General features: G+C 48.8%; 1 protein-coding gene across 7 annotated transcripts in view, besides 2 other annotated features; it reads left to right on the top strand.

The window, feature by feature from the left end:
- The first annotated feature begins 93 nt into the window (after positions 1-93).
- Positions 94-25,682, top strand: part of TCEA3 (transcription elongation factor A3) — a 43,840-nt gene continuing 18,251 nt past the window's right edge. For 4 of the 7 annotated variants that reach the window (NM_003196.3, XM_011542053.4, XM_006710864.3 and 1 more), the window contains exons 1-5: positions 94-277; positions 5,703-5,765; positions 6,833-6,938; positions 7,452-7,593; positions 16,116-16,178. In NM_003196.3, coding sequence (NP_003187.1) covers positions 209-277; positions 5,703-5,765; positions 6,833-6,938; positions 7,452-7,593; positions 16,116-16,178 — 443 coding nt within the window. In that variant the 5' untranslated portion in view covers positions 94-208. Of the gene's footprint in view, positions 278-5,634; positions 5,766-6,832; positions 6,939-7,451; positions 7,594-16,115; positions 16,179-25,682 lie in introns of all 7 variants that reach the window. The other 3 variants (XM_017002203.2, XM_017002201.2, XM_017002202.3) reach the window with 3 other exon arrangements.
- Positions 5,142-5,700: an enhancer, noted in NCBI's record as "NANOG hESC enhancer chr1:23745635-23746193 (GRCh37/hg19 assembly coordinates)". NCBI's record gives its function as "activates a minimal SCP1, AML or CMV promoter by ChIP-STARR-seq in naive H9 embryonic stem cells {active_cell/tissue: H9 hESC(naive)}" and the evidence as "EXISTENCE:reporter gene assay evidence [ECO:0000049][PMID:30033119]".
- Positions 20,763-20,812: an enhancer, noted in NCBI's record as "active region_363". NCBI's record gives its function as "activates an Ori minimal core promoter by ATAC-STARR-seq in GM12878 lymphoblastoid cells {active_cell/tissue: GM12878}" and the evidence as "EXISTENCE:reporter gene assay evidence [ECO:0000049][PMID:35858748]".

Below are 25,682 nucleotides of genomic sequence, written 5' to 3'. Positions count from 1 at the left end.
TATTTAGTGCCCGCCACCCCTCCCCCGCACAGTTGGGAGGCGGGCGGTGGGGGGGTGGGGGTGGGGAGAGCCCCGCCCCCGCCGGGCGTGTGTGTCGTGTGTGTTTGGGGCCCGCGCGGGTTGCGCGCCCTCCGCCTTCGCGCCTCCTGCCCCCGAGGCCCTACTGCTGCCCCTGTGCCCCTCGCCCCGCCGGGCGTCGCGGGCCAACATGGGCCAGGAAGAGGAGCTGCTGAGGATCGCCAAAAAGCTGGAGAAGATGGTGGCCAGGAAGAACACGGTGAGGCTGCAGAGTTTGGGCCACGGCCCCCGCCCCCGGGAGGCGCGGGCAAGCCCCGGATTCCGGGGTGGGGACGTACTGGCGGGGCGCCATGGGGGCGCGTACGGGACTCGGGGACCCGAGGGAGGAGCGGCTGGTGCAGGGCCCAAGGCCCCTTGGGGACCCTTGCTGAGCACCTCGAGGTGGGCGTGTGCGTGGCCCAGGACGCCAGGGGGATCGTGCGGGTCCCGGAGGCGCGACTTGTGCACGTCCCTTTGGACGTGTAGGGTTCACCCTGGGCAGCTAGTGCAGGGCCCAGGAAAGCGGGCGAAGAGAGCTGGACGTGGGAAAGGACTTTGGGAGTCCCAGGGCTTGGCGTGTGCAAAGCCCGGGGAGCGGCGGCGATGGCGGGGGCGGGGCGGGGGGCAAATCCGGGTGGCCCGAGAAGTGGCAGAGAAACTTGGGCTGACGGGGGTACTGAGCTGCATCCCTGCACCCCGGAGTGGGTCTGCGGGAGAGAAGTAAAAGGCCGTGGATCCTGCGACCCCACCGCTTGGTGCGTCAGGAGCGGTTCTTTTGGCAATTTTCCCTTTCCTTGGCCTTGGGGTGCGGCCCGGACGGGCGGGGGCCGAACAGGTGCGGGGGCCCGCGGGGCGGGGGAAGGGGGCCGGGCTGGAGGCCTGTGCAGCGAGGGCGAGGGCGGAGGGAGGAGCGGGCTCGGCGGGAGGTTGGGAGCAGGGCTGACAGCCCTACCGGAGGGTCCTGGCCAGAGCGCAGACCCAGCTGGAAGTTAATGTTTGATCTTCCCCGTGATCTTTGCCTGGGGCTGGCGGCCGACTGGTCGCCTGGCCAGAGCAAATTTGGCCTTGGGTCCTGGAGGGCCTGCGCTCACCCTGGGAGGGAAAAAAAGGGAGCCTGGTGAGCATGCCCTTCCCACCTCCCGTTCCTGTTCCAGGGTCCTCTTCCTCCCACCATCCGTAGCCATGTGCTGCAGCCACCTGCATTTCCAGGACACTTAGGAGCCTGGGAAAGGAAGAGACACTAAGGGAAGTTTTAGAGCCAGGAAGAGTAGCCAAGGCCCAGGGAAGGGTCACTGGAACCATGAAGTGGCAGGGAGCCCTAGAGTGGACACTGGGCAGTCATGAGTTGGTGTCCATATAAAGGCCAGAGCCTCAGTTTCTTCATCTGTAAGAAAGAGATGAGATTATCTGCCTCTGGAGAAGGGATGTCACTGGATTCTTGTCTCTGCTGGCAGCGGTGAGGATTGGAGAGATGAGACAGAGATGTAAAGCCCTTAGTAGGACTCAGACCTGTGCTTGCTAAGAACTGGCGAACAAGACCTGCTTCTACGCAGCCAGGTCCAACACAGAAAGATACAGCACAAACCTGCAGAGTGCTGGGAGCTTCTCACCTGACACTCCCAACCTCCATGCACTCCCCGTTCCAGACTCCTCCACAATCCTCAGTACAACTGAGCCACAAGTCTTGGGGGAGCATTTTCTCAGCTGGGGTTGGCAGAGCGCAGCCAGGGATTCTGAGCCAAATTCCAGTTCAAATAGACGGGTTATCCCAGCCCAGCTCCTTACTGACCCCCAAGCTTGGGCCAGGAAAGAAATTCTGGGCCCCTGGGTAAGAGGGGTAGGGTGGGGACGCCTAGAGACCGGAGGAGAGGCAGGCTGCTTGGGATAGAGCTCTGGCTGAAGAGGACGGGACCTGCCCTGGCCTCCCCCTCACTCCTTTTATGGCCCTAGGCAAAAGCCACTCAACCTTCCCTTTCTGGACCTCGAGTTTCCTCTTCTGTGAAATGGGAAGAGGAAATGGTGTCTTTTGGAGATGGATTCCTGTGGAAGTGCCCAGAGCTGTCCCCTGAAAAGATGCAAGTCTGGCCGCAGGGTCCCTGCAGCATGGAGCCAGTTTACAGCCACGTCTGCGCCTGGGCTCTCGGCAGTGTCTGGGTGGGCATGGAGCTCTGGGCGTCTGGCCGAGAAAGGTGGGGCCTGCTCTGGGAGTGAAAGTGGACCCGCCCAGCAGTGGTTAGGCAGAGGAGGACATACTTCCTGTAATAAGACGGATCCTCCACGTTGCAGCTCAGGCCCGGGGTTTACTGCCGGTTGCTGAAGTCTCAGCCACTTAAGGCTTTGTCACATCCTCTGAGCATGCACTAACAGAAGCAACTTCAAACATGCAACCAAGTGCCTACGGTCACAGCTACATACACACACATAGCTATAACATGTGGCCACAACACAGTAGTTAAACAAGCAACTGAACCTAACTGCGTATGAGACACGGCTACTGACACCAACATGACAAGCATACTGACCCATATGACCCACATTGACCATTATAGTTATAGAATGATACACAAAGACAGCCACACACGTATGCACGCAGCACAGCTACACCCAGACATGCAATGCTACAGACTTAGCAAACAGCCACATTTATACATTCAGATCTTATAACACAGGCGTCATCCCACAAAGCCAAATAGACACAGCTGTGCCCGGAGCTGCATATTCACAGCTGCACACTTAGACCAGAGATACTACTGGCTACAGAACCCATTTGTATGTTCAGAGAGATACACCCAGCAACATTTGCACAAGGCTTTGTTTATCCAGCTACAATCCAGGCTCATGGCTATTCTCCTCCAATATGACCCAGTTATACAGCTGTGACACACGAGGCATACACCCAGTGGAGAGCTGGAACTGGCTTAACACAGATTGTTGCGTTTTCAGGAATTTTGCAACCTGGTGGTTAAACACAGCAATTGTTTCAAAAAACTACATTATCTGCTTACAATAAATAAATTATATTAAAAACAAAGGTAAGGAATCCTCCAAAATAATCACTTCCTGATTGTTTTACTACATTGTACTGTCATGTATGGTCAGAGATAATTTACTTCTATTGTTATCTGTACAGTGGAAATATTATATAATGGTATGGTAGTGTACGTCTCCTCCCAAAACTTCCTTCAGTTCAGTGACAGCATGTTGGTAGCTTGAAATTGGCCATGGGATGAGTGTTTACACCACAGAAATTGGCAAACACTACAGGTCAGTTTTTTTTTTTTCCTTGAGAACTGGTTGTTAAACGTTGGCCAGCACACCACTGCACTTACCCATGTTGATATTCCATGATTGTGTATGTCTAGACAGATCTGCGCCCATGCTAACACAATTTGTATAGTGGTTAGAGCCCAAAAGGACTGAGTTTGAATCCCAACTTGGCTCCTTATAAAGCATGTGACCTTGAGAAAATTATTTAACCTCTCTCTTTCTTGGATTGCTCTTTGGTGAACACAGGATAATAATTCTGTAAGAATGGGAATAATACACAGGACCTACCCGATAGGGCCATTGTGAATGTTAAATGAGATAATACAGGTAAAAAACTTAGAAGAGTGCCTAGTACATAGCAAGCCTTTAATTAATGTTACACTTGGAGTTGTGTACCCCCAAGTTCACATACACACACATCTGCAGGTCACGCTTCTGAAAACCTACTGTGAACCCAAGTTCTCAGGGAGGCTAAGGACTGACAGAGGGCAGCTCTTAGGACATGGTCCAGGTCCTGCCAGGGTGGGGATTGGCAGCTGGAACCATGAACTGTGGGCCAAGGATAGGAACATACAGGACACCGTCCCCTGGTGCTCCCCAGGGAACTGATCTCAGGACAGCAGGCAGGTATGGCTTCTAGGAAGGGGCTGGGGGAAAGGAGAAGGCTGAAATGGGTCGGAGGGTGTCCAGGGCCTGGCAGCTCACAGATTTTCAAACCTAAGCCTTTTTCTGCCTCCTGCCTTCTTTCTGCTTTAGTTCTGCACAAGTTCATCCACTCAGGGAGCACTGGACTCTCTGCTGAGCCCTAAGTTCTCAGAGATTAGAACGGTTCTCTTTACCCGAGAGAAGTTAAAGTACCTGTTCACACAAAGACTTGAAATGAATGTACCTAGAAGCTTTATTTCTAGCAGCCCCAAACTGGAACCTATCCATAAGTCCCATCAACCGGTGAATGAATTTAAAACATTGTGGTAGACTGGGTGTGGTGGCTCACGCCTGTAATCCCAGCACTTTGGGAGGCCGAGGCAGGAGGATCACTTGAGGCCAGAAGTTTGAGACCAGCTTGGGCAACATGGCAAAACCCTATCTCTACGAAACAATGCAAAAAATTAGCCAGATGTGGTGGTGCATACCTGTGGTCCCAGCTATTCGGGAGGCTGAGGTGGGAGGATCACCTGAGCCTGGAAAGTCGAAGCTGCAGTGAACTGTGATTGTGCCACTGCGCTCCAGCCTGGGCAACAGAGTGAGATCTTGTCTCAAAAAATGCCAGGCAAACTGTGGTACATACATACAGTGGAAACCACTCAGTAATAAAAAGGAACTACTGATCCACGAGACAACATGGATGAGTCTCCAAAATCATTATGCCGAAATAAGCCAGATAAAAAAGGGTTTTTGCCCTACATACTCTTTACATAAAATCCTTAAAGATACAAGGTCAACTATAGTAACAGAAGGCAGAATTGTGGTTGTTTAGGATTGGGGATGGGGAGGGATGGATTAGAAAGGGGACAGGAAGAAGCTTTTGGGGCTGGTGGCTGTGCTTTTATCTTGATTGTGGTGAGGGTTCCATGGGTGTACACGTATGTTGAAACTTATCAAATTTTACACTGCAAAGTGTGCAGTTATTGTATGTGAATTATACCTCAAAAAAGCTGTTTTTTGTTTGTTTTGTTTTGTTCGAGTTGGAGTCTCGCTCTGTCACCCAGGCTGGAGTGCAGTGGTGTGATCTTGGCTCACTGTAACCTCCATCTCCTGGGCTCAAGCGATTTTCCTGCCTCAGCCTCCTGAGTAACTGGGATTACAGGCATGCGCCACCACGCCTGGCTAATTTTTGTATTTTAATAGAGATGGGGCTTCACCATGTTGGCCAGGCTGGTCTTGAACTCCTGGCCTCAAGTGACCCGCCCACCTCAGCCTCCCAAAGTGCCGGAATTATAGGTGTGAGCCACCATGCTGGCCAAACTGTTCTGTTTTGTTTTTTAAAAGGCTCCCAGTCCTCACCCTGCGAAGTTCACAGTGGGGAGGTAAGGGAAGGACGCTACAGGCACACGAGCAACAATAAGCCAGGAAGGAATTCATTTGGGAGGAAAGATGGGGAAGGGGGAGGGCATTCCTGGGGAGAGGCACAGCAGAACCAAAGGCTGGAGGTCAGGAGCCTGGCTCAGAGGGTTTGAACCCAGCAGGTGGCGGGGGATGAAGTTAGAGCACCACCTAGGACAGATTGTTTCTCGTCTCTCTCCTTCCTTCTGCCCCTTGCCTGTCCTTCGGCCACATGTCTGTCTGTATCCTCCTGCTCTCTGTACCAAGACCACACAATAGTCAGAGAAGCCTGGTCAGGACCCAGGCCCCAGTCCTCACCTTGTGGCCTCCCACAGGAAGGGGCCCTGGACCTTCTGAAGAAGCTGCACAGCTGCCAGATGTCCATCCAGCTACTACAGGTGGGGCGGGGGTGGGAAGCCTTGGGACAGTGCCTGGGGGGAGAGCTGGTGGGGGAGGGAAAGACCCCTGGTGGGGGAAGGTGGAGTCTGGGAGGAATTTCTGAGGGGGGCCTGTGGGGAGGGGATCTTGAGGTGGAGACCTCCCAGGGAGGGACTGAGGGGGACACAGGGGCATCTCGGGGGCGGAGAGGGTATCTTCTAGGTGTAGGGGACCTCTGGGCCTTGGAGCAAGACTGGTTCGCTTTTCTTGAATACCCCAATTCCCAAGGCCCTGGGCCTGTGGGATCCAAGAGGCCAATGATCCAGGGAGAGGGAAAAGCCCCCATTTAAAATCCCTGTGTAGCCCTTAAAGTCCCCAGATTTACCAAAAGCTCCTGGCCCTGAAAAATCAGCACAGACAGATGCAAGGTCTCATAGCCGGAGCTGCTGTCTCAGTTGAAACTGGAGCTCAAAGACACTAGAGTGAGCTGGCCACGGTGGCTCATACCTGTAATCCCATCACTTTGGGAGGCCGAGGCAGGCAGATCACCTGAGGTCAGGAGTTCGAGACCAGCCTGGCCAACATGGTGAAACCCCGTTTCTACTAAAGATACAAAAATTAGCTGGGCACGATGATGCACACCTATAATCCCAGCTACTCAGGAGGCTGAGGCACGAGAATCGCTTGAACCTGGGAGGTGGAGGTTGCAGTGAGCTGAGATTGCACCACTGCACTCCAGCCTGGGCAACATAGCGAGACTCCATCTCAAAAAAATAGACACTAGAGGGTTGGGAATGGGAGGGGTCCTGACAGTCAGCCAAGTGCCACCCCCAACCCTAGGTTCAGGTTTCACCAAAGCTACAGATATCCTCCATGTCAGGCTTAGCCCTGGGCCCTCGGCCTCGTGCAGAGCAGGGCCTTAGTTACAGTAGTGGGGTTCTGACCTCAGCCAGGAGTCAGGGCTAGGACTCTGGGGGTCCAGGTTGGAAGGGGAGGTGGTGGTAGAGCTGGGGCAGGATCTGCCAATGATGGCAGCCATTCCTGTGTATCCATTCCCAGATTATGCCTTAACCCTCTCACTTTGCAGACAACCAGGATTGGAGTTGCTGTTAATGGGGTCCGCAAGCACTGCTCAGACAAGGAGGTGGTGTCCTTGGCCAAAGTCCTTATCAAAAACTGGAAGCGGCTGCTAGGTGAGAGAGGACAAGGTTGTCTTGAGCCCTGTTTTTCTCCTAGCACTTGGGACAGGACTGGGCCTGGCTCATAGCCAGCACTCAGTGTATGTCTGTTGAGTGACTTAATCAGTGACAGATGGCCTCTGGATCCGGGAGGTAGCTAGTGGGGGACTGCCAATGTTTGTGTACACAAGTGCAAGATTTGTAGACTTGTGAGTTTTGTGTACATGTGCCACTTACGTGTTTGTGCTCTCATGCATTTGTCTATATAGTACATGTCTACATGCACACATTTGTCTTAATATGTGCAGAGATGTGTTTGCCAATGTATTAATGTCCCCATGTGAGACTGTGTATTTGTACACACGTTCCTGTTGTTTGTGCATTTGTGTGTAAATGTGTTTGTGTGTGTGTTGGGAGTGTGTGTGCAGCTGTCCTCGTCCCTGCCCTTTGCTCTCTCCCCACTAAGTCATGCTGGGTTCTGCTGAGACAGAGCTTAGCTGAGGGACAATGCCACCCTTTTGTTTTCAGACTCCCCTGGACCCCCAAAAGGAGAAAAAGGAGAGGAAAGAGAAAAGGCAAAGAAGAAGGAAAAAGGGCTTGAGTGTTCAGACTGGAAGCCAGAAGCAGGCCTTTCTCCACCAAGGAAAAAACGAGAAGACCCCAAAACCAGGTATTCTTTTTTGGGATGGAGAGAAGGGAGCTGACACTTGTCACGTCCTCTGACAGCAACTCAGTGTATATTATCTCATTTAAACCTTTCATCCTGGGGAGGAAGATATTGGTATTATCTCCTGCAGTGCCCCCTCTGGGGGTCTTCTTTGGCTCAACCAGATGTTAGACTCACAAGACCCAAATAGGACATAAATGGCACTGGCTTTGCCTAGAAGGATGCAGGGACAGGAAAGAGTGCGTCTGCGGGAGGGCCTCCAGCATTTCTCTACAGAGAGTTCCCATAGGAGACCGCACGGCAGTCTAGAGCTCTTCTCTGGCCCACCCAGGCAACAGCCTAGGTGCGGGGAAACAAGACCACAGCGGGTATAAGCCTCACATCCCGAATCTTGTAACAGTCCCAAAGACAAAGATTCCAAGATGCTAGCAAAGGCAATAGCCACTTATAAGATTCATTGCACCTGGCGCAGTGGCTCACACATGTAATCCCAGCACTTTGGGAGGCTGAGGCGGGAGGATCACTTGAGCCCACGAGTTTGAGACAAGCCTGGGCAACATGGCAAAACTCCGCCTCTACAAAAAATACAAAAATTAGCCAGGCATGGTAGCGCACACCTGTAATCCTAACTACTCTGGAGGCTGAGGTGGGAGAATCGCTTGTGCCCGGGAGATGGAGGTTGCAGTGAGCTGAGATTGCGCCACTGCACTCCAGCCTGAGCAACAGAGCAAGAACCTGTCTCAAAAACAAACAAACAAAAACCAAGACATATATTATAAATTAAAAGGATCTCTACTTTCTGTATTATACAATAAAAATTTTAAATCTGAATTGTTGGGTTTTTTCACAATGATCCTGTACTGCTTTTGAAACAAAAAATAATAATAGTGCTTTTAAAAACTAAACAAATAAGAGTGATAAAAATCTGTTGTAGAAAATAATGGAAGGCCGGGTACGGTATCTCACCCCTGTAATCCCAGCACTTTGGGAGGCCGAGGTGGGCGGATCACTTGAGGTTGGGAGTTCGAGACCAGCCTGACCAACATGGAGAAATCCCATCTCTACTAAAAATACAAAATTAGCTGGGTGTGGTGGCACATGCCTGTAATCCCAGCTACTCGGGAGGCTGAGGCAGGAGAATCACTTGAACCTGGAAGTCGGAGGTTGCAGTGAGCCAAGATTGCACCATTGCACTCCAGCCTGGGCAATAAGAGCGAAACTCCGTCTCACAAAAAAAAAAAAAAAAAAAAAGGAAAATGTAGAAAAGTAGAAAAAAAAATCACCCACATTCCCACCACCCAAAGACAATCACTCTTGATGAGTTAGTGTATGGCTTTTCTTTCTGTTCTCTGACTTGTTTTCTATAGTCATCCCCAATTTTAATAGCCTGCTTTTTAAAAGGTAATGCCTGTGAAATGGTTTTGTCACATTTTCTATGTTCTGTTCCTTTCCATTGCTCATTTTGCAAGTGTATCCTACTTGGAAAAACCCTAATTGGCATCTAACTTTTCACACGAGTGTGTTTTCTTTTCCCAAAGGGGTTAGAAGTTTGGCTCGGGGAATCCCTGACCATCTCCACAGTGCCTAGCACGGAGTGAACATTTACTGAATACTGCTAGCCCATTTGTAGCAGCATGGTCCCCTGCCCTGTGGATTACCTCCTGTTCATGCCCTGGCTGGTCTGGCCATGTCTGGAGCACCTGTGTGGTTATGAGAACCTTGGCAAATGAAGGACCAGGAGCAGGAGAGCTCTTATGAGATGAAGTTGAAGGACTAGAGGCTGAACTACTGGGGAGGGACCAAATGGGATTTGGGACTAATCTGTCACATGGGGAGTGTAGGCATCCAGGTAAAAGTGGCAGCCTGAACACATGCAGTTTTTGTTTTTGTTTGCTCCATCCCCAAGCCCCACTGAATGAACAGTAAAGAGGCTGGGCGCAGTGGCCCATGCCTGTAATCCCAGCGCTTTGGGAGGCCGAGGTGGGTGGATCACCTGAGGTCAGGAGTTCGAGACCAGCCTGGCCAAGATGGTGAAACCCCGTCTCTACTAAAAATACAAAAATTAACCAGGGGTAGTGGTGCACGCCTGTAGTCCCAGCCACTCAGGAGGCTGAGGCGGGAGAATCACTTGAACCCGGGAGCAGAGGTTGCAGTGAGCTGAGATCCCGCCACTGCACTCAAGCGTGGACAACAGAGTGAGACTCTGTTTAAAAAAAAAAAAAAAAAAAAAAAAAAAAGAACAGTAAAGGGATTTCTTTTAAAGGCCTGTATGAGAACAACAGGTGTAGGAGAGGTAACAATGAAAAAGCAGAAAGCCAGGTTCTGGGCTGAACTTGTCACTTATGGCCTTCTTCTCTGAGACTCAGTATTATGGCCTGAAACACAGACATCATTTTCTCCGTTCTTTCTTCTTAAAAATAAAATGTTTTATTTGTAATAGTCTTTAATTATATTTTAGTTGTCTTAGTTTAGCGATTTTGTATTTTTTATAATACAGATAATTACTTGCTCATTGTAGAAAGTTTTAAAAATACAAATAAATAAGAAAATAGGCCGGGTGCAGTGTCTCATGCTTGTAATTTCAGCACTTTGGGAGGCTGAGGCAGGTGGATCACAAGGTCAGGAGTTCAAGACAAGCCTGGCCAACCCAGTGAAACCCTGTCTCTACTAAAAATACAAAAATTAGCTGGGCCTGTTGGCGGGTGCCCCGTAATCCCAGCTACTCAGGAGACTGAGGCAGGAAATCACTTGAACCCAGGAGGCAGAAGTGTCAGTGAGCCAAGATCGTGCCACTGCACTCCAGCCTGGGCGACAGAACTAGACTCCGTCTTAAAAACAAAACAAAACAAAACAAAAGATAAGGGCCAGGCACGGTGGCTCATGCCTATAATCCTAGCACTTTGGGAGGCTGAGGCGGGCAGATCATGAGGTCAGGAGTTCGAGACCAGCCTGGCCAACATGGTGAAACCCCATCTCTACCAAATATACAAAAATTAGCTGGGCATGGTGGTACATGCCTGTAATTCCAGCTACTTGGGAGGCTGAGGAGGAGAATTGTTTGAACCGGGACCCAGGAGGCGGAGGTTTCAGTGAGCTGAGAGCGTGCCACTGCACGCCAGCCTGTGCTACAGAATGAGACTCTGTCTCAAAAAATAAAATAAAATAAAGTAAAATAAAATATCATTTATTATCTAGAAACAAGCACTCACATATAATTGTGTGTATATATACATATAAAATTTATATATATATATATATATATATACATCCTGCTAGACTATTCCTATGCATTACTACCTATAAATAGGTATAAAATACCTATTTGTTTTAATAAAATTGAATTACACTCTGTATACTATTTTGTAACCTTTTCATGTACATAAATGTATTCATTTCAGTAGCAAGGTGTGTTTAGTGTAAAAAGTTTAGAAAATCAAGCACAAGAAGAAAATAACAGAAATAACCATTGTTAACATTTTAATGTATATCTTTGTAGTTTTTTAAGAACATACAGGCCAGGCCAGGCTCAGTGGCTCACGCCCTTAATCCCAGCACTTTGGGAGGCCAAGGCGGGCAGATCACTTGAGGTCAGGAGTTCAAGACCAGCCTGGCCTACATGGTGAAACCCTGTCTCTACTAAAAATACAAATATTAGCTGGGCATGGTAGTGGGTACCTGTAATCCCAGCTACTTGGGAGGCTGAGGCAGGAGGATCGCTTGAATTTGGGAGGCTGAGGTTGCAGTGAGCCAAGATCACCCCACTGCACTCCAGCCTGGATGACAGAGCGAGATTCTGTCTTTAAAACAAAAAGAACATACATATGGGCTGGGCAAAGTGGCTCATGCTTGTAATCCCAGCACTTTGGGAGGTGGAGGCAGGTGGATTACTTGAGCTCAGGAGTTAGAGACCAATGGCGAAACCCTATCTCTATTAAAAGTAAAAAAAAATTAGCCGGGCGTGGTGGCGTGCACCTGTGTTCTCAGCCACTTGGGAGGCTGAGGTGGGAGGATCACTTGAGCCTGGGAGGAGGAGGTTGCAGTGAGCCGAGATCGCACTACTGCACTCCAGCCTGGGTGAGGAGTGAGACTCAGTCTAAAAAAAAAGAAAAAAAGAACATTCATATGTACATTTATATTTATATTTTGTTAATAAAATTTGAAATGCACTATACATTTTCCTGGGACACTAAATTGTTATGCCCACTCACTTTTCACAGCCATGGGGCTCAGAAATGAAGCTGTCGCTGGTGCTGAGCAGAAAATGGAGAGGTATCTCCTCATTCTGCTGGGAGAAGCCAGTTGTCGGGGGTCCTATTTCAGCTCAGTTAATTAATTTCCTTCCTTTTTAGTTTTCTTAATGATAATTCATTATACAAACACTGTAACCACATTAGTGAAACTTAGAATAAGCATGGGAAATATTTGTGCACATCAGACAAATTAAGCAGCTTTTATTTTTCTTCCTCTCCTCTCCCAGGCCTGGTTTAACTACATACATAATTTTTCCATTCCTTTAGGCAGACTGTACAATTTTTTTTTTTTTGAGATGGAGTTTCACTCTTGTTGCCCAGGCTGGAGTGCAATGGCACGATCTCAGCTCACAGCAACCTCCGCCTCCCAGGTTCAAGTGATTCTTCTGCCTCAGCCTCCCGAGTAGCTGGGATTACAGGCATGTGCCTCCATGCCCAGCTAATTTTTGTATTTTTTTTTTAGTAGAGAAGGGGTTTCTCCATGTTGCTCAGGCTGGTCTCGAACTCCTGACCTCAAGTGATCCGCCCACCTCAGCCTCCCAAAGTGCTGGGATTACAGGTGTGAGCCACCATGCCCGGCCATTTTTTTTTTTTTTTTTTTTGAGACAGAGTCTCACCATGTTGCCCAGGCTGGAGTGCAGTGGCGCAATCACAGCTCACTGCAGCCTGCAACTCCTAGGCTCAAGTGATCCTCTCACCTCAGCCTCCTGAGTAGCTGGGACTATGGGTGCAAATTATTTTTTTAAATATAAAACAGTATTTGAATTTTTGTCCTTAGGAACTATAAAGATTATACGTGATTTGGAAATGAGACTGTAGCAAACAATGGCCGAAGAAGAATCACCCATTCTATGCCTTCTCCTTTGTCTGGTCACTCAGAAATATCCTACTATCAGCTATCATTGCAGGAAACTGAGGACCAGAGAGACCAATAGGAGAGCAGGAGGGTTGTTTATTTAAGGTATGCACCGGCTCAGTGGATTCGTATCTAAACAGCTGAGCATTTTAGCAAAGACAGAGCGGGGTTTTTACAAGCAGGCTTACAGAAGCAAAACAAAAGCAGTTAATCATATGATAGGTCACATAATCTATAGCATAGCATAACTTGTGGCCTTGCATAGCTGGCAGCCTTGTAGCTGCATTGAAAGAAAAACAAGAACTGGCTAAATACAGACATTTGTAAAACATAGTCATGCTTAAGAAGTCAGGGAAAGGAGTAATAGTAAAGGAATTTGTCTTTCTCTCTTTTTTTCCTTCAACCTTGCTCTGGAGGGGAGGGGTGTCTGGAGCCCATTCCTTTGGCCTTGGTTTCCCAAACAGCATTATCTTATAACTGTCCTTGAAGTGAGCTTGCTAGGCAGAGGAAAACCTGTTCTTTTCTTTTTAACCCTTGCCTTGCCTGTTACTTTTCTTGGGGTGAATGAATGCATATTTATTTTTAAATTTCTGCCTCACTATGATTGTTGTTGCTTGTCGCCTCCCATTATTTTTATCCGTGTATTCACCATAGTCTACTTTTTCTTCTGCATAAATTCGAGACCTCTGGCTGGGTGCAGTGACTCATGCTTGTAATCCCAGCACTTTGGGAGGCCAAGGCAGGCAGATCACTTGAGGTCAGAAGTTCGAGACCAGCCTGGCCAACATGGCAAAACCCCATCTCTACTAAAAATACAAAAAATTAGCCGGGAATGGTGGCGCGTGCCTGTAATCCCAGCTACTCGGGAGGCTGAGGCATGGGAATCTCTTGAACCCAGGGGATGGAGGTTGCAGTGAGCCAAGATGGTGCCCCTGCACTCCAGCCTGGGTGACAGATTGAGACTCCATCTCAAAATAAATAAATAAAAATAAACATAAATTCCAGACCCCTTTTTCACTGATGTGCCACATCTCCAGGGCCTGGCTAGAATGCTGATATTCTGTGCCATGTCATCTTGACAGACATCACCCATTTGGTACACTTTCCTGTCCCCTGATCACCACATCTCATTTGTTGCTAGAGAAAATATTGTGCTGGAGTATTTCCTTCCATCTGTCTCATGATAAGGTCCTAACCCACTTGTCCAAGTAACTGCATACAATTCAGGGATCTTTCAAGAACCAAACTGCTAGCTGTTTTGGACTCATGCCTTACAAACTGATGAAGTACCTGTAATACAGGTCTTTGAAACATGGTTTCTATTTTCTTTCTTTTCTTTTCTTTTGAGATGGAGTCTCCCTCTGTTGCCTAGGCTGGAGTGCAGTGGCACAATCTCAGCTCACTGGAACCACCATCTCCCAGGTTCAAGTGATTCCTCTGCCTCAGCCTCCGAGTAGCTGGGATTACACGTGCACACCACCATGCCCGGCTAATTTTTGTATTTTTAGTAGAGATGGGGTTTCACCATGTTGGCCAGGCTGGTTTTGAACTCCTGACTCAAGTGATCTGCCCACTTTGGCCTCCCAAAGTGCTGGGATTACAGGTGTGAGCCACTGCGCCCAGCTGGTTTCTATTTTCTTACGGTCTAATCTTTAGACTTTTCCTGATGCTCTAGCTCTAGTATCGACTAATATGTCACCTTTTTATTTATCTTGCTATTGTATTCTAAGCATTTTTTTATGTTCCTGAACAGTTTTCATAACAGTCATTTGCAATAACTGCGGAGTATTTCTGATTTATTCTAAAAAGAAAAGCAATGAGGAAGAGTCAGAAAGTGGTTCTCCAGGGTGGAGTCTCGTGTCTTCTCTCCCCTCTCCCACTGTAGGAATTCCAGCTTATGGTTCCTGCTTGCATTGTCTATCCCCAAGGTGCACTAGGGAGAAGCCCCACAGAAGAACTCCCAGGGCCTGTTGTGGGAGTGCAGGGGCATGTGAATGAGGACCTCTCTTCCCCTCTCCCATGTGTCTGGTGGAGGGCTGTTCCTGGGGTCATTAATTAGTGACCAGCACTTCCAGCCAGCCTAGCTGTGGGGAAGAACTCCCTCAGACAGAGGCCCTGGGGAGCTTGCAGGAGGCAGCTCTTGGGTCCAGAGGCACTGAGAGAGTGAGCACCCAAGGGAAACTGGGCTGAGCACAGACAATGTTCACCACAGTGACCAAAACCCACCAAATGCTGCTCTTGTGGAATTTACATGGGGTGTCGGACAATAAATATAATTAAATATAAATAAGTAAATTGGCCAGACACAGTGGCTCACACCTGTAATCCCAACACTTTGGGAGGCCGAGGTGGGCAGATCACCTGATGTCAGGAGTTTGAGACCAGCCTGGCCAACATGGTGAAACCCCCTCTCTACTAAGAATATAAAAATTAGCTAGGCATGGTGGCACACGCCTGTAAGTCCCAGCTACCCAGGAGGCTGAGGCAGGAGAGTCACTTGAACCCAGGAGGTGGAGGTCGCAGTGAGCCGCCGAGATAGCACCACTGCACTCCAGCCTGGGTGACAGAGTGAGACTCTGTCTCAAAGAAAAAAAGTCAATTATGTAGTATGCTAGAAGGTGACACGTGCTATGGAATTAAAAGGAAGGCAGGGTAAGTGAGATGGGGAGTGGGGTTTGCAATTAACAAACAGATTGATTTTTTAAAACCAGTAAAAGGAATAACTATATTATATATCATAAAAATAATGTAGCTGAATGCATTTTGGAAAAATTGGGAAAAAATCACCTTTAATCCCATCACCCTAGCTGTAACAGTGGTTAGCATTTGAGTATATTTTCTTTAGATCTGCTTTTCCTCCTATGCATTGGTTTTCTTGCGTGACTTTAGGCACAGTCCGCATCTAATTTTGTCTCCTGCTTTTTTGATTGCTATTTTAACTCAGCTCTTCTATCCCCAAGGCCCATGTGTTTCTCCTCTCCTCCTCCTAAAGTGCCTGCCGGGGAGGCTGAAGCTGATTTCTCTGTTTCTCTGGTTCCAGATGAGTACAGACAACTCCAGGAATCCAGTCTCTGTGGACTCCAGTTAGCTAAGGCCTGCCTGACAGCCAGGAGGACAGGGACCTGCTGAGAATAGTTGTAAATAATGAGCAACACAACCCATGTCACATACATGGCATGTGTTAGGCCCTTGGCAGATATCGACTTCCTTCCCTTGTATTGGTTCACTTGATGGAGGGTAGGTGAAGGTCATGACCAGCCGGCACCGCCTGGAGCTCCCTCTCCCAAGTAGCTGTGGCCCGGGTGGGCTTCCTTAGCCTCAAGCCAGCTGGCCTTTTCCCAGGATGCTTTCTCCCCACCTTCCTGTCAGTACTGATGCTAGTCTACAAAGCAGTCTCCTTGCCAATTTTCTTCTTTCAGGAGAGACTCTGTGGACTCCAAGTCTTCTGCCTCCTCCTCTCCAAAAAGACCATCGGTGGAAAGGTAAAGGAAACCACAGCTTTCTCCATCCCAGTGTCCTATTCAGCCTGTGTCCCCTTCTCTGTTTTTATGGAGGAAGCCCAAGGCAGAGGAAAGGAGGGAAGGAAGAAACCTCCTACATTATGTTGCCCCCGTATTCTAAGACCCACACAGTCTTTCCACATTTCAGCCCTGGGGGACCCTCTGGATGTGCCTTTGATCTCTCTGTGGTCAATTCTTCAATTCATCATGTATTCATTCATTTATTCATTCATCCATCCATTTAGCAAGTGTGCCCCCGAATCAGGGGTGTGGCTCCTTCCCTGGGGTGGCTGACTGGTTGCTGTTGCCCCATCACTGTCAGGGGACCAGTCTCAAGGTCCGATTGAACCCAGTGGGGACAGAGGTCTTGAAAGCCGATACCTAGGCTGGGCACAGTGGCTCATGCCTGTAATCCCAGCACTTTGGAAGGCCGAGGCAGGCGGATCACTTGAGGTCAGGAGTTTGAGACCAGCCTGGCCAACATGGCAAAACCCCGCCTCTACTAAAAATACAAAAATTAGCCAGGCATGGTGGTGGGCACCTGTAATCCCAGCTACTCGGGAGGCTGAGGCAGGAGAATCGCTTGAACCCAGGAGGCAGAGGTTGCAGTGAGCCGAGATCGCGCCACTGCAATCCAACCTGGGCAACAGAGTGAGACCCCATCTCAAAAACAAAACAAACAAAACAAAACAAAAAAGAAAAGAAAAGAAAGAAAAAGAAAGAAAGCCTATACCTGGAATGGGCTCTCTCTGGATTTGGGCTGAACTGGCTAGGATGTCTACCCAAAATTAGCATAAATCATCAAGTCATTTAGTCATCAAATATTTATTGAGGGCCTATTATGTGTCAAGAACTATCCTAGGTGCCAGGGATACAGACATGCACAAAAGAGACAAAAATCCCTGCAGTGATGGGGGCCTTTATTCTAAGTAGGGGGAGACAGGTAAAGTTCAGAAGGTGACAAGTCCTGTGGAAATCAAAAGAGGAGAGGGAAGAGGATCGGGGAAGGATATTCATGGAGTTGTCAGAAAAGTCCTCATCGAGGAAGTGATCGTTAGGCAAAAGCTTGAAAGAGGGATTTAGCCAAGCAGATACTGGGGTCATTCCAAGCCAAGTGCCCTGAGGTGGGGGTGTGCCTGGCAGAGTCAAGGAACAGTGAAGTGGCTGAGGGCTGGAGCAGTTTAAGCGAAGGGGAGGGTTGGGGGAATGAGTAAAGCTGGAGCTATTGGAGGGTACTGAGGGCGGGAATGATGTCACCAAATTTATCAGGATGGCTCTGGCTGCTGTGCCAGGAATGAAGGAACAGCAACACCAGCCAGGAGGCTGTTGCGGTAATTCAGGCAAGATATCATGGTGGCTTGGATCAGGGAGGTAATGGTGGAAGTGGGGTGAAGGGGTGGTTTCCGGATATATCTTGACAGGAAAGCTGACAGAACTTCCTGACAGATTGGATGTGAGGAATGAGAGAAACAGAGGAGTCAGGGATGAGTCCAAGATTTTTCACTTGAGCATCTGCAAGGATGGAGTTGCCATGAATTGGCATGGGGAAGACTGTGCTTATGCAAATCAGGCTTGGGGTGGAAAATCCAGAGTTCAGGTCTCGATGTGTTGGATTTGAGGCGTGTGTTAGTCATTCAGTTGGAGAAGTCAAATATGCAGTTGGATTATATGAGGCTACAACTCAGGAAGAAAGTCTCAGCTGGAAATATAAATTGCAGAGTCAAGGCCAGGTGCGGTGGCTCATGCCGGTAATCCCAGCACTTTAGGAGGCCGAGGCGGGCAGATCACTTGAAGCCAGGAGTTCGAGACCAGCCTGGCCAACATGGCAAAACCCCGTCTGCACTAAAAATACAACAGTTAGTGGGCGTGGTGGCAGGAGGCTGAGGCAAAAGAATCACTTGAACCCGGGAGGCGGAGGTTGCCATGAGCTGAGATTGCGCCATTGCACTCCAGTCTGGGGGATGGAACGAGACTCCATCTCAAAACAAAACAAAACACAACACAACAAAACAAAACAAAACAAAAATTGTAGAGTCATTAGTGTGTAACTGACATCTGAAGAACCTGGATGAGGGCACCAAGGAAAGATTGTGGATAAAGGAGTGGGTGTGAAGTGTGGTCCAAGAGAGTGGTCAGAGGTCAGAGCAGGAGAAACAGGGCCAAGGAGAGCAGGCCAGGCCAGGAAGTGGCCAAGCAGCAGATCAAGGAGAACGATTAGGGTCCATGGGCCACATTGGGTTTTGGGGCACCTTGGTGGGATGATAAGGGTGTTGGCCTCTGGGAGAGTAGGTGTGAGAGCTGCAGAATTATTTTAAGCCTAATGTATCAGTAAGATTGCCATTGGAAAGAAAATTAGAGACACAAAAATTAGGTTGTTTAAGGTTTTATGAAGATTCAACGGGCCTAGGCTGTATTGCACACCTCCAACATGGCAGCCAGCTCCAGCTGATGCATGGAAGCTATCTGGAGTGCTGATTGGAGAGGGAGTCTGAGGCTGTAGAAAAAGTTCTGTAGTCAATTAGCAATGTCTGATGTGGGTCAGGCCTAGAAATGGTGGTTCCAGTGTCATCCTGGTTCTAGACCAGTGGATCTCAGCAGGGGTCATTTAGAAATGTGTGGAGGCGTTTATGGTTGTCACTATGACTTGGGCCAAAGTAGGGGTAAGGTGAGAAGGAGGGGGATACTCCTGACATTTCGTGGCAGGAACCAGAGATGCCAAGTGCCCCGGAGAGTGAAGGACTTTCCTGGATAATGAAGCGTCATCCTATCCCCAGATGAAACACTGGTCACTAATGACATTCTAGGTTTGATGCTGTAATCAAAACACTCGACATTCATGTAAGGATTTGAGCCTCCAGACTCCTCTCCTGACTTTGTCTTCATGGTCTTGAAATCTCCTGGCTCCCTCCCCTAATGCATTCTTTCTCTGAAGGTCAGTCAAACAGAATCTGTTTGTCCTTCCAGAAGCTGTGCCATTTCCTGCTGGTTCAGTACTGAGGGTAGGAAACCAAAAGGGACACAAGGAAGTCTCATTAATTTTTTTTTTTTTTTGAGATGAAGTCTCGCTCTGTTGCCAGGCTGGAGTGCAGTGGCACGATCTCGGCTCAGTGCAACTTCCATCTCCCGGATTCAAGTGATTCTCCTGCCTCAGCCTCCAAAGTAGCTGGGACTACAGGCATGTGCCACCATGCCCACCTAATTTTTTGTATTTTTAGTAGAGACGGGGTTTTACCATGTTGGCCAGGATGGTCTCGATCTCTTGACCTTGTGATCCACCCTCTTCGGCCCCCCAAAGTGCTGGTATTACAGGTGTGAGCCACCGTGCCAGGCAGCAAATCTCATTAATTTGTCTCCTACCCAGACTGTTTCCTGCATGATTTACTTCTCTATTTCATTTTTCTCTTCCGTTCTTTCATCCATTCATTGATTTGGCAAGCACATCTATTGAGCACTTCCTTGCAAATTCAACATTCTCTGGGGATCAAGAGCACATGCATACACGGGGTGACTAGTGGAGATCATGGCAAACTAGAAAGTATGTGCCTGTCTGAAGGGGGCAGCCACTACCCCACTGCAGCTGATTGTTGCTTTGGGGAAATGCAGGTCCAGGGTGCCATGTCTTCCAATTTTTTAAAGAAAAGCCAGACACCTAGATTTTCATATGGAACTCCCCGACACCACCTTTTCTGAGACAGGATCTCACCCAGGCTGGAGTGCAGTGGTATAAACAGGGCTCACTGCAGCCTCAACCTCCTGGGCTCAAGCAATCCTCCTGCTCCAGCCTCCCGTGTAGCTAGGACCACAGGTGCACACCACCACACCCAGCTAACTTAAAAAAAATTTTTTTTTTGTAGAGACAGAGTCTCACTTTGTTGCCCAGGCTGGTCTCGAACTCCTGGGCTCAAGAAATCCTCCTGCCTCAACCACCCAAAGTGCTGGGATTACAGGTGTGAGCCACCGCGCCTGGCCAAAACTCCCAGTTTTCAGTATCAGCAACATATTCACATTTTTCTAAGACACAATAGGGAGACAAAACATATTTGTAGCTCACCCATTTTTGACCTGTAAGGCCAGGCAAAGGTTGAAACTCATCACCTCTCCCTTCTTAGGGCTAACCATGAGTGCAGAGGCAGACACCAAAATGCATGTTTTTAGAAAGGGGTAGGTATAAAACACCGTGGGAACATAGGAAGCATGTCTCAATATGACTATAAAAGTCAAAGGAGGCTTCGTGGAAGAGAAAGTATTTGAGCTGAGAATGGAAAGTCAATAGGAGGAGTTTGGGAGGCGAGTCAGGAGAGTCATTTCAAGCAGAAAGAAATGGCACACCCAAAGGTGTGGAAGTGGGAGTGAGCACGATGCTCTGGGAACTGTAGCTGGAGTACCAGGAAGCAGACCACGGAGGATACCATGTTGACAGGGGAGAAAGTTGACTGTTCTCAGTTGTCCTTTTACCTGGCTATCAGAATGATTTGCCATTTGCAGAGCATGCTCGCTGATGCAGTAACTGAAATGCCCTCGAGGTGGCGCACAGAAGCAGCGGGCCCGGCCTCCAGATGCCTCTACTCAGACCTGGGGCAGGAGGATTTTCTAAGGACTGGTGCGGTGCGGGCACATCCGGGGAGCAGAAGGAAGCTGTTGATAAATCCAACCTCCCACCCCGGCCGATGATGCCCTCTCTGCAGTTTGGCTCAGTTCCCAGGCGTGTGCATTGAAAGCAAAATGAGTGTGGCTGCCTGAAATGCTGCCCAGACACGAATTCCAGCCAGCCAGCCAGCTCCTAACCGGGGAGGCGGGACCAGGGCTGGGTGTGCCCTGCCAGGAAGGTGGGAAGAAATGCTCCAAACAGCCTAGTCTTGCTCAGGTAGGAGGACTCTGGAAACCTCTCTTTTAAAGACACAGTTGATGTGTTGAAAAGAATTTGGAAGGGCGACAGGCAGGTTCGTGGTCTGACTATACCCTTTGCTAGTTGGATGGATAACTTGGGGCAGTAACTTGGATGGATAATTCAGTTCAGCTCTCTGAGCTTCAGTCTACTGATCTGTAAAATGGAGACAATTATGAACCCCTTTCAAGGTCATTGTGAGGATTAAATGAGGTAATGAAATACCCAGCACTGTTCCCAAACCATGTAAATGCTCAATAAATACATAATACTTTGTAATAATACTCATATGAAACCTGGTTATCTATGTAAACTGCCTAATACTTTGTCACTTAGTTGCTTTCATCTGCCCCATAAGATGGGTACTATTATTATTCCGATTTTACGTGTGAAAAAAACTGAGGCACCTAGGGGTTAAGGAACTCACCCAAGGTCACATAGCTACAAAGTGTTGGTCTCAGGCTGTGAACCTGGGAGTTTGGCTCCAGAGACTAGGTTCTTAATAAGTAAACCAACTCAGTGCAGTCGTTTCAAAAACGACCACCATTATTACTGTCATTCGTTGGGGCTCCTTCAAAGCAGCATGCTGCAGGCTCCCCTGACAGTTTTCCTGTGGTGAGTCATAGCTGTTGAGAATGTGCAATGGCACGCACAGGTCAGCGAGACACCATCCCAGCTGCAGGAGATGGCGTTGCCTGGGTCCTGGGAGTTGACAGAGGCTGGCTTTGAGAGAGATCCCTCTCGTACTCCCAGAGAGAGAGATCCCTCTCTTAGGCCCAGAGAGTGGGGCCACTGTCCTTCCAAAGAGGACCTTCCTCTTTCCACATTTCAGCCCTGGGGGACCCTCTGGGTGTGCCTTTCATCTCTCTGTGGTCAGTTCCTCAATTCATCATGTATTCATTCATTTATTCATTTATCCATCCATTTAGCAATGATGTATCAAGTGTCCACCTAGAGCACTGTTACAGGAGCTGGAATGCAGTGGTGAACCCGTGACAGGGTCCCAATACTCTGGAGCCTGTAATCTGGAGATGGAGGCAGACGATGTTTATAAACACATAAACAAGCTAATCATACACTTGGATAAGTGCTGTAAAAGCGAGAAATCAGGTGATGTGCTAGAGAATTACAGGGCGGGGACCATCAGCCTCAGCTGAGGTGGTGAGGGAAGGCCTCCCTCATGCGAGCTGAGACCTGGAGGAGGAAGAGCATTCCAGGAAGGAAGACCAGCCTGTGCAAAGGCCCGGCAGTGGGAGGGATGGGTATGTTTAAGGAACAGAAAGAAGCAGTGCTGTGGAGGCCTTCCGTAAACCATGCGGAGAGCATGGCATGAGATTACATCAGAAAGTGGGTAGGGGCAGGACGTGCAGGGGCTGGGAGGCTGTGGTGAGCTTTTGGTTTTGTTTTTGTTTGTTTTTTTGGAAACACAGTCTCACTCGGTCACTCAGGCTGATGTGCAATGGCATGATCTCAGCTCACTACAGCCTCCACCTCCCGGGTTCAAGCGATTCTTGTGCCTCAGCCTTTTGAGTAGCTGGGATTACAGGCATGCGCCACCATACCCAGCTAATTTTTATATGTTTAGTACAGACAGTGTTTCGCCATGTTGGCCAGGCTGGTCTCAAACTCCTGACCAAAGTGATCCTCCCACCTCGATCTGCCAAAGTGCTGGGACTTTAGGCATGAGCCACTGCACCCGGCCAGGAGTTTTACTTTATGCTAAAAATAATTGGAAGCTGTTACACCACCAGTCCCCAACCTTTTTGGCACCAGGGACTGGTTTCATAGAAGACGGTTTTTCCATGGACCAGGGTTTGTAGGGGATGGTTTCAAGACGAAACTGTTCCACCTCTGATCATCAGGCATTAGATTCTCGTAAGGAGCGTGCAACCTAGATCCCTCACATGCGCAGTTCACAACAGGGCCCACCTCCTGATGTGTGGCCCGGTTCCTAACAGGCCACAGACTGGTACCAGTCCGTGGCCCCAGGGGGTGGGAACCCCTGTGTTGGAGGGTTAGAGGCAGGGGAGTGACTTGATCCGCTGTGAATTTTTGAAAAGTCCCTCTGGCGGCTCTTTGGCAAATGGATTATAGTGGGGGAAGAGGACACAGGGAAACCAGTTTTGGGGCTATTGTGACTGTTCAGGTGGGAACCCTGTGACCAGGATCAGGCTTGGGGGCAGGAACATCCGTTTTGGATGCCAACAGCCCCGCGAGTTCACGCCCTGTCCAGCCTTTCCTCACCCAAACCTCCTGCTGCAATCTGACTCCAGGAGAAATCTGCTTGGATCTCAGCTTCCCTGTCCCTCCACCATGCTGCCAGGCAACCCAGTTGTCAGGCAGGGTCGGGTAGAATTAAGGCTAGATTAATCTAGGACAGTAAGTTTCAAACTGCATTAAAAATAAATAAAAGCTAGGAAATGAATCCCTTTGGACAAAATTTTTAGAAATTCAAAATGTAAACCTTACAAGAACAGAGTTTACCATCCCCAGCCCACCTCACCGGTATGCATGGAGGCACTTTTGAGGAACCTCAAGTCTCTAGAGAATGCAAAAATCCCAAAGGTCCAGGGGTCTGGGGTGAAAGAGGAGATCCAAGGTCAGGCCAAACAGCAAGAGGTGGGGGACAGGGAGGTCACCAGCAGAGTCCACACTGAGCTGTGCCCAGCAGGATGTTGGATGGGATTCTCTGGTAACTCCAGGTTGTTGATCCTGAGAAGCCTGGGCTACTCAGTTAGCCTCACTCTCAGACACAACTCCCTGGGCCTGAGAGACTTTGTCAGAAGTCCAGAATCCTCTTCTTCCTGAAAGGAAGTAGCATGTCCACAGCCTGAAAGTGAACATGAGAAGCAGCTGTGGATCCAGGCCCCAAGGCTGCCTGGCGCAGCTGCCCAGGCTGTGCACTGTATAATTACAGGAGGTACCAAGCTACTAATGTAAATGGTGCCTCCTGGAGTGAGGAAATGCAGCAGCTCTCTGGGCGCTTCCACAAGGGCTCAGTTTGGTAAGACCCTCGAGTGGGTCTTAATTTCACTCCAGGAGGGGACCTTAATTTTTTCAACTCTGATGAGTCCACTTTTTTCTCAACAGAGATATAGGGGCTGGCTGGCAGATTCTGATGGGTTATTGAAAAAGGAGGTGAGAAGAGCAGAGGAATGAAGACAGAGACTTCCTGACTTCCTGGCTCCTACCCTAAAGAATAGTGCAAAAACATCTTGGGAGGGAGGGAGTTGTGCAACTATCACAAAGTCTTGCCAGGCACAGTGGCTCATGCCTGTAATCTCAGCACATTGGGAGGCCAAGGCGAATGGATCACTTGAGGCCAGGAGTTTGAGTCCAGCCTGAGCAACATATTGAGACCCCCATTTCTACAAAAAAAAAAAAAAAGCCTGGTGTGGCGGCATCTGCCTGTAGTCAGTCCTAGCTACTTGGGAGGCTGAGGCAGGAGGATTGTTTGAGCCCAGGAGTTCGAGATTGCAGTGAGCTATGATTGACACACTTCACTTCTTCAAGGCTCCATTCCATCATCTGTAAAATGGGCCCAGTAATTTGTGACTTTTAGGGTTACCAAAAAGAATAAACAGCAGAGCAGTGGTAAATGGTGGCTTTTGTTTTACCATCCTTAACAAACCCCAGAGTCTGGTTAGATCCTTTCTCTCCAACTCCCTCTCCTTCTTACAAGCTCCCTCACCCTCACGCTCCAGCTGCATTGAGCCCTTTGACATTGCCCATGCAAACCTTGGCCTTCTACACTTCCATCATTTCTGCCAAGAATGCATTTTTTTGGCCGGGCACAGTAGCTCATGCCTGTAATCCCAACACTTTGGGAGGCCAAGGCAGGTGGATCACCTGAAGTCAGGGGTTCAAGACCAGCCTGGCCAACATGGCAAAACCCCATCTCTACTAAAAATACAAAAATTAGCTGGGCGTGGTGGTGCATGCCTGTAATCCCAGCTTCTAGGTAGGCTGAGGCAGGAGAATCACTTGAATCCGGGAGGTGGAGGTTACAGTGAGCCAAGATTGTGCCACTGCACTCCAGCCTGGCAGCCTGGATGACAGAGTGAGACACCCTCTCAAAAAAAAAAAAAAAAGGTTTCTCACATCGCAAAAGTAGATAAATTCTGTATAGAAGATTTAGCAAATAGGCATAAGCAAACGAAGAAAATGAAAATCTCCTATCATTCCACCTCAGAGAGATAATTGCTATTAACATGGTATTATGGGCTGAATGTTTGTGACCCCCTAAAATTCATATGTTGAAATCCCAAACCCCATTGTGACTGTATTTGGGGATAGGGCCTTCATTAAGGTTAAATGAGGTCATAAGGGTGGAGCCCTGATCCAATAGGATTAGTGTCCCTATGAGAAGAGACACCATGTGAATACAATGAGAAGACTGCCATTCACAAGCAAAGAGAGAGCCCTCATGAGAAAGCAAATTGGCCAGCAACTTGATCTTGGGCTTCCCAGCCTCCAGAACCATGAGAAATAAATTTCTGCTAGTGAAGCCTCCCAGTCTGATATTTTGTTATGACAGATTGAGCCACATAGTTAGCCTTCTAAATGTCTGTGCACATATGGATATATATATATATATATAT

This window comes from Homo sapiens, chromosome 1 (assembly GCF_000001405.40).
Source record: "Homo sapiens chromosome 1, GRCh38.p14 Primary Assembly".
Taxonomy (NCBI): Eukaryota; Metazoa; Chordata; class Mammalia; order Primates; family Hominidae; genus Homo; species Homo sapiens.
This window is presented reverse-complemented; position numbering and strand designations above follow the sequence as displayed.